General features: G+C 46.4%; 2 annotated features.

Annotated features, from left to right (window-relative positions):
• Window positions 8,655-8,855: a silencer, noted in NCBI's record as "peak7238 fragment used in MPRA reporter construct". NCBI's record gives its function as "represses an SCP1 promoter by STARR-seq MPRAs in K562 erythroleukemia cells {active_cell/tissue: K562}" and the evidence as "EXISTENCE:reporter gene assay evidence [ECO:0000049][PMID:32103011]".
• Window positions 13,963-14,525: an enhancer, noted in NCBI's record as "H3K4me1 hESC enhancer chr9:38257983-38258545 (GRCh37/hg19 assembly coordinates)". NCBI's record gives its function as "activates a minimal SCP1, AML or CMV promoter by ChIP-STARR-seq in naive H9 embryonic stem cells {active_cell/tissue: H9 hESC(naive)}" and the evidence as "EXISTENCE:reporter gene assay evidence [ECO:0000049][PMID:30033119]".

Genomic DNA, 15,564 nt, shown 5'->3' on the forward strand with positions numbered 1-15,564 from the left:
TGTGGGAACTGACCCCCAGTGAACTGTAAAATGTGAAAAAGAAAAAAAATCTATCCAAGCTATGCAGCTGGACACCACCCTGAACACCTGCGCTCCATCTGGTGGGACCCTGTGAGGAGCCATGTTGAATGCCTTCCAGAACCATCTGCCATGGGGCAGAAGAAGGGTATATTTCTGCACCTGTGCCAATCCCCCTTTGATCAAAGGTTGCTGCCCTGTGAGAGGTTAACTCCCTTGTACTTCAAAGTTTGCACATTTGTCAGAATGCCGTATGTGGCCACAGCAGAAAAGCCCCAGAAGCCAAAAACAAGAGGGTTGAGGAGGGAACAGGGGCGACTGAGTGAGCTGCTCTCAGGTTAAACTTGCACACAGCTGGTTGTCTCAAAAACAGCTGGAGTAGAAAAGGTTGCCTAGAGGATGTGAGGTGGGGCATAAAAGGGGTGCTGTACAACATATTTAGCAATTTTAAAACAATCATATTCTAGTTCTAATTACAGTGAGTATGAGTTTAAAATTTCTATTTCATTTAACATCCTGTATTTTGGTTTAATGTACATACGGTACAGAAATTTTAAGTATACAGCTCAATGAATTTCGAGTGTTCTTTGATGTTCTACAATTTTCTTTTTGTTACATATACAAAATGACTGTTATAATAATGATTATTAAGAAATAATGGGCCGGGTGTGGTGGCTCATGCCTGTAATCCCATCACTCTAGGAGGCTGAGGCAGGTGGATCACCTGAGGTTAGGAGTTCGAGACCAGCCTGGCCAACATGGTGAAACCCCGTCTCTACTAAAAATACAAAAATCAGCCGGGCGTGGTGGTGCATGCCTGTAATCCCAGCTACTTAGGAGGCTGAGGCAGGAGAATCACTTGAACCCAGAAGGCGGTGGCTGCAGTGAGCCGAAATTGCACCACTGCACTCCAGCCTGGGTGACAGAGCAAGACTCCATCTCAAAAAAAAAAAAAAAAAAAATTAATAATGTAACTCTTTTGAAACTTCATGTGGGAAAGGGGCATCTTTTTCTCATTTGCCTTCTGATGCCATGTGAACCGGCAGTTGGACCTCTGAGGACAGAGATGTGTGCCCTGAACAGGGTAAAGATGGACACTTCCTCACTCAGTACAGAAGGCTTGGGAAAGTTGTGGTCAAACTGGTTTTTTGTCATTTGAAGATTTATGAAACCTAAGCTAGGAGAACTTGCTATTTTGAATATCTCACAATATGAGGACTCCATTAAAGCAGGGGAAACTGTATACTTAGCTTTTGGAACATTGAAATTTCCTGCTATACTTCCTTCCACTTCCCTTCTTAAACTTTTTTGCCCTTAGTAAGCACCTTGGCTGGTTATGGTTCCTTGCCTGGTGGAAAACTCACATCTGCATTCCTGAAGAGCCTACGGCATTAGACTATGCTGTTATTTATTTTATTTTATTATTTTTTTTGAGACGGAGTCTTCGCTCTTTCGCCCAGGCGGGAGTGCAGTGGCGCTATCTCGGCTCACTGCAAGCTCCGCCTCCTGGGTTCACGCCATTCTCCTGCCTTGGCCTCCAAAGTAGCTGGGATTACAGGCCCCAGCCACCACACCCGGCTAATTTTTTGTGTTTTTAGAAGAGATGGGGTTTCACCGTGTTAGCCAGGATGGTCTCGATCTCCTGACCTCGTGATCCGCCCGCCTCGGCCTCCCAAAGTGCTGGGATTACAGGCGTGAGCCACCGCACCCAGCCTATGCTGTTATTTTAATGAACGTTTACCATAAGCCATGGGGGTATTAAGAGGCATTCCAGAAAAATCTCCTGGGTTCCAGAAAGACTCCTCTTTGTCCTCATCGTGTAGTAGCAGCTTACTTCCCCTTTGGTAATCAGGACTAATCACTCCAGTGAGGACACTACCTCCTTCCTTGCCTCTTGGTTAAATGGCACGGGGGGCCCAGAGTAGCCAGGGGGCAGTCTGAGCTTCCAGTTCAGTGGACTATGGTTGTGTCCATTGATGGAAGTGGCTTTCCTTTGGGAATCAAGACTTCTGCACCAGGGAGCTCAAAGCCACAATGATAGAAATGAAAATGTTGCTTGTGCTTCATTAAGGGTAGTTGTGGTATGAACTACTTCTGTTTCCTTCCATTGATTCCTGGACCCATGAATGCTAGCTGTGGGAGAAACAGTAGCAGACATTGGTCACTGAGTTAGAGCATATACCCCATTCCACAGGACATTACCTCAGCCCTGCAAAGGTTTGTCACTTGGCAGGTGCCATAAATGAGTCTATCAAAGGCCAATCCATTGTTGTATCAGGCCTGCTGTTTAGAGGATGTGGTCAGGTCAATGATTTCTGTGACCTTGAACCAAAGGATTATTTCAGGGCAGTCATCAAAGCCTTGTCTTTTCCTACCTGGCCTTGAGTTGGTCACTTTAAGCCCAAGGTCACCATTTTCTTTTTTCAAATTCATCATCACAGTCAGAAGTAGCTAACTAACCTACAGTCCTTACATGCTGTTTCCACTGTTCTGTTACAGCAGCTAGTCGGTCACCTGACTTTTTCTCCACGTACCTGACTTCAGGTGACTACAGGTAATAACTTAAGGAAATGTTTTGCCACTTTGTGCCATGGACTACCATGATTTTGCAATGGTGACATTTCTGCCCTTAATTCTAATAGTAGTGAAAGAATTTCACATTCCCATTCTTAAAGACCAGTTCCCCTGAACAACTAGTGGTTTCATTGAGGAAAACAGAGCTATTATAAGTATTATGGGAATAAAGGGTTTAACACAGGAGTTGGGGCTTATGCAAATCTGGGAGTAGTAGTGACAGTGAGGTTCTAGAAAGGGAATGTTGAAGCATTGGAGAAACCATTGGTAACCACTTCTGTCTGAAGCCAGGTGCAGCTGGCGGGGACGAGCTTGTGGGAAAGTCTGAGGAACTGCATGCATCTGGCCACCAAAGTGCATCCATGGGGTGAGAGTTCACGGGGTGGTCGGCAAAGCTTTGGTGTCCGTTGAAGCTGCCATGCCTAGTGACGCTGCCACTGTGCCTGACTGGCATTCCCTCCCAGCAGCAGTGGCTTCCCTTTTCCTTCTTCCTTCCAAATTTTGCGTGGGTTTCTCCCATCAGTAATCCCCATCCTGGAAACACACACAGCAAACAACATACTGGGAAGCATCATTCCAGCCTGAAACAGGAGATGGTGCCAAGTTGACAACAAGACAATCCAGCCCAATGTCCAACAATGGGGGATTGGTTCAATAAATTACGGTAGGGCCATGTAGTAAAATCCTACACAGCCTGCATTCATCAGGGATCAACCAGAGAAACATAACCAGTAGGTTATATATTCATTTATTGCTTGTTGCTTGCTTGCAAGGAATTGGCTCACATAGTTGTGGGGTCTGGTTAGGAGAGTTCAAAATCTGTAAGGCAGCCAGCAGGAAAGGCAGGCTGGGACTCTTGGGCATCATCTGAAGCTGCAGTCCACAGGTAGGATTTCTTCTTCTTCAGAGGACCTCAGGTTTGCTCTTAAGGCATTCCAATAGATTGAGTCAGGCTCACCCAGATTGTCCAGGATAATCTCCCTTACTTACAGACAACTGATTATGGACCTTAATCACATCTACAAAATGCTTTCATGGCAATATCTAAATTAGTGTTTGACTGAATAACTAGGGGACTGTAGCCTAGCCAGTGTGACACACAAAGCTGACCAACCCACAGCCATAGAAAAGAATCACATAGATCGATATGTGTAATGTGATAATTGATGCTCTAGAAGAACATTAAATGATATGGAAAGGTATCCAAGAAATATTAAGTTAAAAAGGCAGGTTCTAAAACAGTACGTAGAGTATTATTTTGTTTGTGTAAAAGGATGTCTAAGTATAGAGAAAGTAGACTAAAATATCACACGAGAATATTCAGAATGGTAATTACTGAGTGCTGAAAGAATGGGTAATGAAAACGTTCTCATTTTTGTGTATGCGTATTTCCTAAATCATTTACAATAAATACATGATACTTTATAGTGAGAAAAAGTTTAAATATTCTATTTTAGACACATTAGGAAACCTTGCTAATTAAAGAACAGTAGGCCCCTTCGTGGTGTGGGGCGTGGGGGAGGGATTTCCTCTCTCTTCTCCACTCCCTAAGCTTCTCCTTCTCTATCTACTTGCAGACACCAAAGTTATTTGCAAGACAGAAAGCTCTCAGGTCTTACAATGGAAATCTTTCCCTCTTATTCCTTTCCCTAACAAGTATGCGTGGATGCTGTGGGTGAGACGTTGAAAGTAAGCATTTTAATTTAGTATACACAGTGGAGAGAACCTTTAATATAATATTAATTCACTGTGCAAACTAGCAAGGTTTAATAACCATGTGAGCCATCGGGAATCCTGGTGTGACTCAAAATGACATCTGCATTAATGGTCTAATTAATAATGCATATGTTAATAAAATCTCATTAAAGCCAAAGTACAATTATTCACGTAGGATGCAATTCTTTAGCATCTGTGGGCCAATGTAGTGCTTTGGTGATGCCAGTTGCAATTTCCAATGATAGATGACCTTTTAATTCTCATTAATTGATTAAAGAGGCAGTGATTAGTGTAAAAACTCAACTCGTTTGGAAGTACAAAAATCACTGGTAAGACAATGATGATTACAAATCAGGAGGAACCAGGCAGCCCATCACAGGCATCTGCGTGTGCACAGTGAGTAATAAGAGATGGTAGGCAGGTAAAACAAGGCCAGTCATCCATGTCTCCCTCACTGCACCACAAGCCTGGGGATTGGACTCTGCTGCTATCAACAGTTTAATAAGAATTATATCAACACTGATTAATTCTTATGGAAAAATTATTTTTTAAAGGAAGCACCATAAAGTTAATTGACTAATTTGATTACTTTTCAGTTTCGTTTTCTTCTCAAGTTTTCCCATTCCCATTTTGGTCTTACTAAAATTATTTCAATCAAACTGTTTCACCATGAAGACTTGGTTTACCAGTCAGTTTGTTTTTTAAAAATTGACTTATGAGAGTGTCATTTTTTTTTTTCTTTTATGGCCATTATTTCCACCAAGCCCAAGTTTCCTGGGTCGTATCGAGCCAATCAACATAGTGTCAAGAAGATTTGAAGCTTTGGTCAATTTTTAGTCAATAAAAATTTCCACCCCGTGGACTTCTAGCCCCTGTCAACATTTTATGCTGACTACTGCCACCAGTCATTATGATCACATGTTGGGTAAATGACTAAGAGCTTATCTTTATTTCTAAGTTAACCCATGAAAAAAATGTGAGCAAATTTATGAACTAGGGCAGACATTAAGAGGGAGGAAAGATGGAAGGGAAGGGGGAAAGGAGAGTGACAAAAACAGAGAAGGAGAGATACAGAGAGAGATGGAGACAGACATCAAAGGGTTGCAGCAGTTCTAGCTTACTGACTTTTCTTCAAGGTAAAAATTTCTTGGTGTCAAAAGGCAGAGTCGAAACATCTGCTTCTCTGCTCCCCTAATCCCATGGCCTCTGAGTCCCTGCTCTGAGCTAGACCTGTGCCATGGGGAACAGAACTGAGTAACGTAGGCTATCAGCTCTCAGAGAGCCTCCAATCAAGGGAGCCACATGTGGCAGCAGCTAAGCCATGGAGGCTGCTCTCCAGGATGAGGGAGCCACTCATATGTATCTCTGTGCCCCCAGCACCTGGCAAAGGGCCTGGCCACAGAACCTGCTCATAAATGAATGAACTTGTCCCTCTACTAACATGCATTTATGCAGACTTTTCTATGTCCTGGGTACTGAGGCAGGATTCAAGAGTACAGCAGTGAAGCAAGCAGTGCATGGGGAAAGCAGCAGAGGTTGAGATGAGGCATGCATGTTGAACACATAAACCAGAGCTTAAAAAATGTAGGCAGGAACATAGTGATTAACTTTTAAGACTAAAGTCCGTGATGCTAAACTGGCTGGTTTTAGAAGGCAGACATTGCACGACACAGGTGAGCAGAGTGCCTGGTGTCGGGGTGGGGAGGGGGGTGCAATGTTCCACTTGACACTTGCAATGGTTTCTTCTTTCTCAATTCTTGGGTCTGTGTGCCCGAAGCCATTATCCTATCCTGCCTCCTGGTTTCCTCTCCTGGTAGGCAGCGGGTGCCCAGGAAGGACTCAGGAAACTTGAGTGCCAGCCCTGCCTCTGAGCACTCACCTCTCCACTGTAAGCCTCAGTTTCCTCATTTGTGAACTGGGGGTTCTAGCTTCACTCTGTCTAATGTCCCTTCTCATGGGGTCACCAGTCTTTGCCATTGGAAAGTGCCAGCTGGGCCCTGCTCAGGGTCTGAGGCTTGGTCCAGATAATTAAGAAAGCCCCTTGGCTGGGGTCACTGTGACTAACAATCTCGGACACCCAGTGAGGGGTTTCATGTACTCCACACCCGATCCAGCTTCTCTTCTCCCTTTGGCATTCAATTCTCCCCACTGCAGTCACCATCCTATGCCCGCTTGTCCTGCTAGGATGTTTTTCGCTAAGACTGAATCACGGCAAGGCTGGGGTCTTTCTGTTGAAGGTAAAGCCGGGTTCCTGGTATCTGCAGAATTGCCTGGGGCTGTGTCCAAAGTCTGACTTGTTCCTATCAAGTTGAGGCCCAACAGACAAGGAGGCCTAACATTTCTTAGGCATCTGCCATGTGCCAGGCTCTGTGCTGGACTTTTTAATGTCAAAATCTCAACTGTCAAGCAGAACTGGGTTTATCATTCACATCTTACAGATGGAGAAACTGAGGCTCAGGGAGTTTTTGTGGCCTGTTCAAGGTCCTGTAGGTACTAACTATCTTAGCACTGCTTCTCGATGCCACGGGAGGAATTTCGAGCTGGTCCTGGAGTCTGCCCAGCAGCATGATCTCCCTTGGCCTGGAAACATTTTGGGGCCTGCAGGACCTCACCAAGCAATCGCCTCTAGGGTTAGCAGGGGCAGCTGTGCTAATGGGCTCTGTGGGACAGCTCCTGGCTAAACATTTTCCCTTCTAGAGGCCCCATCAGAGAGAGAGACCACTGGAAGTCAGTGCCTGTAGCCTCTGGATTGGGTTAACCAGGGATACCATAAATCCCCTTGACTGCCGTGCAGCATCTTATTATCTTGGAAAGGAGAGGCCCTAGGAGGTGATCTGGCTATGCACCTTCTGTTCAGAGAGGGGAAGCCTCCTGTCCAGAGTCATGGCAGGGCAGGGCTGGGCCTCCTGATTGCACCTGTCTGGTTCTGTCTTCTTTTCTCCATGGCTTAAAGGCAGGGCTCCAGATTTTTACAAAAGCTTTTCTACCTTTGCTCCTCCTTTTAAATCTTCCTTTTAGAGTCACTTTCTGGTCCTCCCCTTCCCCCATAAGAACTCCACAGCAATTCACACACCCTGAGGGGTGAATGCATAGCAGATTGCTAAAGCCAGGCTGTAATTATCCATCTGTCTGCTTTAGGGAAGAATTCACTTGCACCAGGATAAATGCTGATGGGTCTGACACCCCTGATAGTGCTTCCTGAGCATCCACTCCAGCCTCTTTGGGGGTCCTGCATGGGGGAGGGTGGGTACAAAGAGATGAATCAAATGGTGCTGCTTCTAGGAGTTCCCAGTCTAGCAGGGGACAAGTGGCCAGGAACAGAGAGAGGCATGGCAAGTGTCCAAGGAGCAGAGTCGTAAAGCCCTGCAAAGATTGGGTGGGATTTGGACAGTGGGGGGCATTTCATGTGTGAAATCTGCATGAGCAGAGGTGTGGGAGTGGGAATTGTGGAGAGCGTTTTGGCTCTGTGAGAAGGTGTGGCATGGGAGATGAGGTTGGAAACATATCTGACTATATAAGCCCTAAATCCCTTCAACCTTGGCCTTGGCCGGAGATTATAAACCAGCTTCCCCAGAAGAGACTGAGACCTTCAACAAGTTTATTTGGTCCCCACAGAGTTTTTGTTTTGCTTTTATTTTTTAATATTTTGAGTTAGTTGCCAACCTTTAAAAATCAGAAGATTTAACATGAGAAATGTATTTCCAGCTCTCTAGAAGAATCCAAAGAAATGGCAACCCTGGGCCCGCATTTCTGTCTGGCAGACATGACGGGTGTGTATTTGGGAATGTGCATTTTCTGGGGAGAGGGTCTGTGCTCATCAGATCTTTAGAGGAGTCTATGAGTCTCCAAAAATTAGAACCATGGTTGAAGAAGGATATTTAATGTCATGAAAGATGTTCACAAAATAATAAAAAAAGTTTACAAAGGAATATTAACTGTATGATGACATTTTAGAAAAATATATCTATTCATAGAAAATATTGGTTATCTTTGGACAAGGTGATTAAAGGTAACTTTTATTTTTCCCTTTGCTTCTGTTTGTAAACAATATGTGCAAGAACATCATTTTAAAACTAATTTTTAAAGTAAATCTGAGCTAGGTGACAGTGTTTAAAGCCTTTCAATTTCCCAGCCACATGCAGAAAGAAATTTGAATTCTTTGGTCTCTTTCTGCTCTGGGTCAGTGAAACTTCCAGCCTTCCCTCCTACTGTATCTTTGGACACTGGGAACCCTCTGTCCCCTCTGCACACTCCTAGTGTCTGACAGTGACATGTCTCTGACTCTTCCACCCTCTCTCTTTCCTACTGAGCCCCTACTCCTTCTTCCAGGGAGTGTTACACATCACCCCCTTCATGCAGCCATACCCACTCCACACTGATAGGGCCATCCACACCTTCTGTCAGAGGCTTGTGAACCAGAGCAACTCCATCTTAAATAGGAGCTGGGTAAGATGAGGCTGAACACTACTGGGCTGCATTCCCAGACAGTTAAGGCATTCTGAGTCACAGGATGATATAGGAGGTCAGCACAAAATACAGGTCATAAAGACCTTGCTGATAAAACAGTTTGCAGTAAAGGAGCCGCCCAAAACCCACCAAAACCAAAATGGTGACAAGAGTGACCTTTGGTCATCCTCATTGTTACACTCCCATCAGCGCAATGACAGTTTACAAATGCCGTGGCAACTTCAGTAAGTCGACCTATATGGTCTAAGAAGGGGAGGCATGAATAATCCACCCCTTGTTTAGCATATCATCAAGAAATAACCATAAAAATGGGCATCCAGCAGCCCTCAGGGGTGCTCTGTCTATGGAGTAGCCATTCTTTTATTCCTTTACTTTCTTAATAAACTTGCTTTCACTTTGCACTGCGGACTCGTCCTGAATTCTTTCTTGTAGGAGATCCAAGAACCCCCTCCTGGGGTCTGGATCCGGACCCCTGTCCTGTAACACTTCTGCTGTGGCCACCCTCTGTTGCTTGGTCCCTTCCCCACAGGGTTGCTGGTAAAGTATGTGCCTGATCCTGCCACTGGACTCTGGGCTTCTAGGGGGCAGGAACCATGGCCTGTTCACGTGTTGTCTTGTTCACAATGCCTTGCATGCAGTATATGATCAGGAAATGTTTGTCCAAGTCAGTTGACTGGAAACGAAGAGAAAAAAGTGAGGCCGGGTACAGTGGCTCACGCCTGTAATCCCAGCACTTTGTGACTCTGAGGCAGGTGGATCACTTGAGCCCAGGAGTTGGAGACCAGCCTGGGCAATGTGGTGAAACCCTGTCTCTACAAAAATTACAAAAATTAGCTGGGCATGGTGGCATATGCCTGAGGTCCCAGCTACTTGGGAGGCTGAGATGAGAGGACTGGTTGAGCCCAGGAGGTTGAGGCTGCAGTGAGCTGTGATTATGCCACTGCACTCCAGCCTGGGTGACAGAACAAGACCAAAGCAAAATTAAAAAAAAAAAAAAAAAGGAAAAAATGAGAGTTTTAGTCAGAATACATGGATTCAAGTCCCTGTCATGCCTCATAGGCTTGTGCGACTGACCATGGGCAAGTCTTTAACCCATTTTTCTACTTGCTCCTCTGCAAAATGGGCACACAGGCTTGCTCTCAAGACTAAATGAAATGATGTATGTGAACGTACTTTAAAAATTATCAAGTACTATACTAATAATCGCTACTGCTGTCATTCATTTCCACTCCTTTAAGGCAGCTTTTCCTGGATAGTATAGACTGACTTACTCAGGTTGAATTGGTAAGTTAGTGGTGGAGCTAAGACTAAAAGCCAAATCCTCTATAGGTCACCAACTGTCCTGTTAACAGCAAGTGTTAAAAGAAACTGGGAAATGTGATCGGGAGCTGGCCGTTGACTTCTCTGGGCAGGTGTCATGGTTTCCCATCAATTACTGCTGGAGGATAAGGGAGGGGATGGTTTTCACGCTGACTGATCCCCCTGCCATTGCCATGTCACAGCCACCATCTGCCCCTGCCTGACTTAGAAGAAAGTGCAAAATGCTTCGTTTAGCCTCTCTTTGCTCTTCTCTTTGAGCACTAAGTGTCCCTGCCAGATGCTGAGCTGAGGGCTGGAGCAGGGGGTGGGGGGACCCTTTTGCTTTGTGCTTACAGTGAGATGGGCAGTTACGAATCTAACCAGAAAGCAGACTGTCACTGGGCACGCTCAATCACACCAGCACATTGGCTCCACAGGGGCCGAAGCCAAAGATGCTGGGCTGTGGGAAAATGTGTTCCTAAGACTTCTGCAAGGCACCAGCATTGAGTACCATCACTCCAGCCCTTGAAGTGATGCGGTGTGAGTGAAAGGGACATAAAAAGTTGGTACATTTTGGAGCATAAATTCTGCACCAGGTCAGATACTGCATGTCCTGGAGAGTAGAAAGGGCCTTGCACAGGAAGTTGGGACTTCTCAGTTCTGAAGCTCCAGCTTTGTGGGCTTGGGTGAGCCACCCAGCCCTCCAAAGTCTCTCTTTCTGTCATCTGTATTGATATGAGGCTTCTTATTGAGCAGATATTAATATTTACTGAGTGCTTACCATGTGCCAAGGATACTTCAGTGAACCAAACAGACACAATGCCAGCCCTCAAGCAATTCCTGTTGTTGTGGGATTATAACCATTCCAGCCCTGCCATCTTTCCAGCCGCAGCCAGCAGATAGGAAAGTGCTTTCTAAACAGAGGTTATGGCTGAGATCCACCGAGGCTTATAAATCAGTTGCTCTTTCACCATCCAGAAAACTGTTCCTCCAGCAGTTAGATAATTGAGGTTAGTGTCAGGAGGGAAGAGACCTAAATTAATGAAATTAATGAGACCTTCCTCATGCTTCAGTTACCTTCTACACATTGAGTTGAATCGAGATGGCAAAGGCTACAAGTTTTGAGCAAGAGTTCATTGTGAAATCAATTGATCACAGACTCCCAATGCCGTTCCTTTAACTCTCAGACACTTAATTGATGAATACCTACTGGAGATACAATGTAGACAGGGAGAGTGCCCACAGGGCTCTTATAATCCGTTTGGTGATCAGACAAGAGAAAGGGCTAGAGGGACTAGGGAGAATAGGGTGCCTCTAACCTGGGCCTGATAGGAGAGAGTCAGGGAAGGTTCCCTAAAAGATGTAAACTCAGCCTATAAGAGATGTAAACCTATAGTTTAATTAGACCAGGATGAAGGATGCAGGGAGAGGGAACCCTGGAGGAAGGGGTGCTGGAGCCACTCTTGAGTGGAAAGGCAGGAAGCACTGGATTAAGAAAGATAGGGCAGGAATTGCTGCCAGAAGGAACCATTGCACAAGGGGAGAAACATGCACAGTGGGTTCGAGAAAGGCCTCTTTTACTCTGTTTTATGCTGCTGTAACATAATACCACAGACTGGGTATTATGAACGGATATTTTGGCTCATGGTTCTGGAGGCTGGGAAGTCCAAGATCAAGGGGCCACATCTGGAGAAGGCCTTTTTGCTGCGTCATCCCATGGCAGAAGGCAAAGTGAAGGTGAGAGAGATCAAGAGGGGGGTGAACCTGTCCTTTTATAAGGAGCCCACTCCCACAATAATGGCATTAATACATTTGCTTTACCTTCATGCCCTAATCCTCTCTCTTTAGTCCTCACCTCCCAACACTTGCACTGGGGATTAAGTTTCCAACATATGCTTTTGGGAGACACATTTAAACCATAACCAGCCCTTAGTGGTCCGATCTCTAAATTTTACAAGTGGAGAAACTGAAACCCAGAGAGGTCTTAAGCTTTCTCAAGGGTAAAATTGAGGATCCATGACTAAATGTTACCCAAGACTCCCTTGAACTCTAATAATTAATCATAATTAACTTTTTGGTCCAGGGAGGTTGTTAATATTCCCATTTGACTGTTGAGGAAATTGAGAGAGAAAAATGATCTGGCCAAGGCCAACATAGCTAGTTAGTGGCAGAGTCAAGATTGGAATTTGCACTCCAAATACTAAAATCCTGTGTGAGTTCTACTATGTCACATTGCCTCCAACACCAATTCTAAAGACCTCTGAAGCTGTCTACACCAATGATGCTCAGACTACGTGGCACCTGAGAACACGTGGGAGGTTTTAAAACCCCGGAGCACACGCCAAACCCAGAGCAATGATTTCAGAATCTCTGGGTCACGGCCCAGGCATCAGTATTTTATGAAACTCTCCAGGTGATCCCAATGTTCCTGTGCCTACATCACTTGGCAATCCTGCTAAAATGTAGATTCTGGGGTGTGGCCTGGGCACTGGAATTTTTTAAAGCTCCCCTGGTGGTGTTGATGCCACTGTTCCAAGAAGCACACTTTAATTAGCAGGGAGTCTACACACTGCTGTATGTCACTTTGGCTGCCTTCTTTCCAGGTCTTCTCTTTCTCTCACTTTCACACATGTGCACCTACCTTCCTCCTGGCCTAGGCTTTTAAATGTCATGCTTCTAACCAAGAAGAGTTTTCCATCAGGAATGCAGAGCCCCACAGAAGGTCGCTACTCATGAAAACACTGAGTGCACTGCTGACCTGACAGCCTGACAGACACATGGGGACCTCAGGGGCAGAGCTGGGACTGGAATGAAGCAAGTCAGGTGCTAGCGCACAGTGTTTATTTTATTTTTATTTATTTATTTATTTATTTATTTATTTATTTTTTCGAGACGGAGTCTGGCTCTGTCACCCAGGTGGGAGTGCAGTGGCGCAATCTCGGCTCACTGCCAGCTCCGCCTCCCGGGTTCACGCCATTCTACTGCCTCAGCCTCCCAAGTAGCTGGGACTACAGGCACCCGCCGCCACACCTGGCTCATTTTTTTTTGTATTTTTAGTAGAGACAGGGTTTCACTGTGTTAGCCAGGATGGTCTCCATCTCCTGACCTCGTGATCCGCCTGCCTTGGCCTCCCAAAGTCCTGGGATTACAGGTGTGAACTACCACGCCCAGCCCACAATATTTAAAGAGACAGTCCTTCTCAGGTTCTTGCAGCTGCTGACCTTGTGCCTGTACAAACCTGAGAGTGAGTGTCTCTTAAGTTTTGTTTTCCAGGCACCTTGCCTCACTCTAGTCTGAATGGACCCCGGCTCCACCTCTTCCTCCTCCGCCCAGCCTCCCCCTGAAGCCTGCCCATCCTAGAACCTTCAAGTTTATTTTTACTCTGTCCTCCATTTCCTTCCAGAAAGCAGTTGCTATTCCTACCTCCTCGGCACCTCATTCTTGGGCTCCATCCCACCTTTCTAGGCACAAGGCAGCTTCCTAAATAATGATTTTCAAAGTGCAGTTCCTGGACCAGCAGCATAGGCATCACTGGGAACTTGTTAAAAGGCAAATCCCCAGGCCTCATGCCAGACCTACTGAATCAAAACCTGGAGGTGGGGCCCCTCGGTCAGTGATTAACCAAGCCCTCCAGGTGATGCTGATGCCTGCTCAAGTTTGGGGTCCACTGTCCAGGGGGATGGAGCAGGCAGCAGCCCTGCATTGCAGGCCTGGCTCTGCCCTGACTCCTGGTGACAGAGGTCTCTGGGCCTGTCTCCCCTCCTTGAGTAAAAGGAGGAGGCGGCTGCAGGATACTCGTGAAAAGGCTCCTTCAGCCCTGACTTTCAGGCCTCCTGCCCCTGGGGATGTGCTCACCAACCTTGCTCCACTGCAGGCCAAACTGCCCCTGGCAAATGGCTCTCCCTGGGGCGACTCCTGGGCAAGGCTATGTGTAGCAGCCTCCTCTGTCTCCACGGACATCATTAGCTGAAGAGCCTTGCTGGCTGAGGAGATCGGACCTTGGAAACAGAGTCTAAACAAAAAGAGGCCTTTCTGCAGCCACTGCTGGAGAGGCACTGTGAGCTGTGGGAAAATGTGGCTCCCCTGCCTAACTCTGCCAGGGGTCAGGGCAACTGGGAAGGGGTTTGGGAAATGCACATTCCTGTGGCTGCTGGCAAAGGTAGCTCCAAGCAGGCATCACCCAGACCAGCCAGACTCACCTCCTCTCAAGTCCTGCATCCACTGGAGGGAAGGTATCCAGTGGCCTCATGCAGTTCTGCATCCCTCATTCAGCCTCACGTTCTCAGCAAGAGAGCCCTCCGCTTCCAAGATGGTGCCTTGAATGCTGCATCCTCTGGAGGGGGGAGCACTATGTCCTCACATGGAGGAGGAACAGAAGAGAGAGGGCTCACTCCCACAATCCTCTTTATAGCAGATTAATCCATTCATGAGGGCAGAGCCCTCACGGCCTAAGCACCTCCCATTAGGCCCCACCTCCCAATACTGTTGTGTTGGGGATTAAATTTCCAACACACGAATTTTGGGGGACACCCTTAAACCATAGCACCTACTATGTTCTAGGTCATTCTGTTTTACCTGTGTTCACTCATTTAATTCTCACAATGTATTATAATAATACTAATGTTGCTATTATTAACAGTGTAAGTACTCTCGGAATACTAATTTTACTTAGAAAGAAACCAAGGAACAAAGAGGTTAGGTGACTTGCCCTAGTAGCTGCAGAGCTACTAGGTGGATTGGAACCCAGGTGGGCTGGCTCCTAACTGGCTTTTAGCCACGAGGCTCTACCCTCTTCCTCTCCACATGTGAGAGTTCACCATAAATTAACACGTTAAACAGAAGGACAGGCACAGAGAGAGTCAGAAACCCAGGCTCCCTCATGGGGATGTGGCAGGCCAGTTTTCTGCTTTACCCCTCAATTTTCTCATCTGTAAAAGGGGTTAATAATTCCTGTACGGCCACACCCCCTCCCAAGGCTGTGGTGAGGATTAAGAGGGTGATGGAGATAATGACTGGGCATGAATTCAAGAGGGAGGGGCCACATGAAATGGTAGTAGGGGCTTCCATTTACCTGGGCTCACCTGGCCTGCCCAAGCTCATAGGTCAATTGTAACACCCCACTATCTGCCATTTGTATGGCTCTTTACAGACAGAAACCTGAGGCTCAGAGGGAAGTACCTTGCTCTAGGTCATAAAGCTCAGGTTGTGTAAGGTGAGAAGGAACTCAGCAGAGCCAGCAGCAGCTCCTCTCTCTCTAGTTTGCATTATATTTGAAATTTATCACAACAGAAGCAACAGGAGACACGTGAAGACGGCCAGAGTCAGGTCTGGAACCAGGGTGTCTGTGTCCATTGTCCTCATTCTTAACCGGGGTGCTATGTATGATACACAGTTGGGTGAAGGCTGAGCTTCACTGAGGCTGGAGAGCGCTCATGTTCCCACTCAGGCCCCATCGCCCATCTGCAGATGGTGGCCCCTCCACAGGTGGGC

The sequence above is a fragment of the Homo sapiens genome, chromosome 9 (assembly GCF_000001405.40).
Source record: "Homo sapiens chromosome 9, GRCh38.p14 Primary Assembly".
NCBI classification, from domain to species: domain Eukaryota; kingdom Metazoa; phylum Chordata; class Mammalia; order Primates; family Hominidae; genus Homo; species Homo sapiens.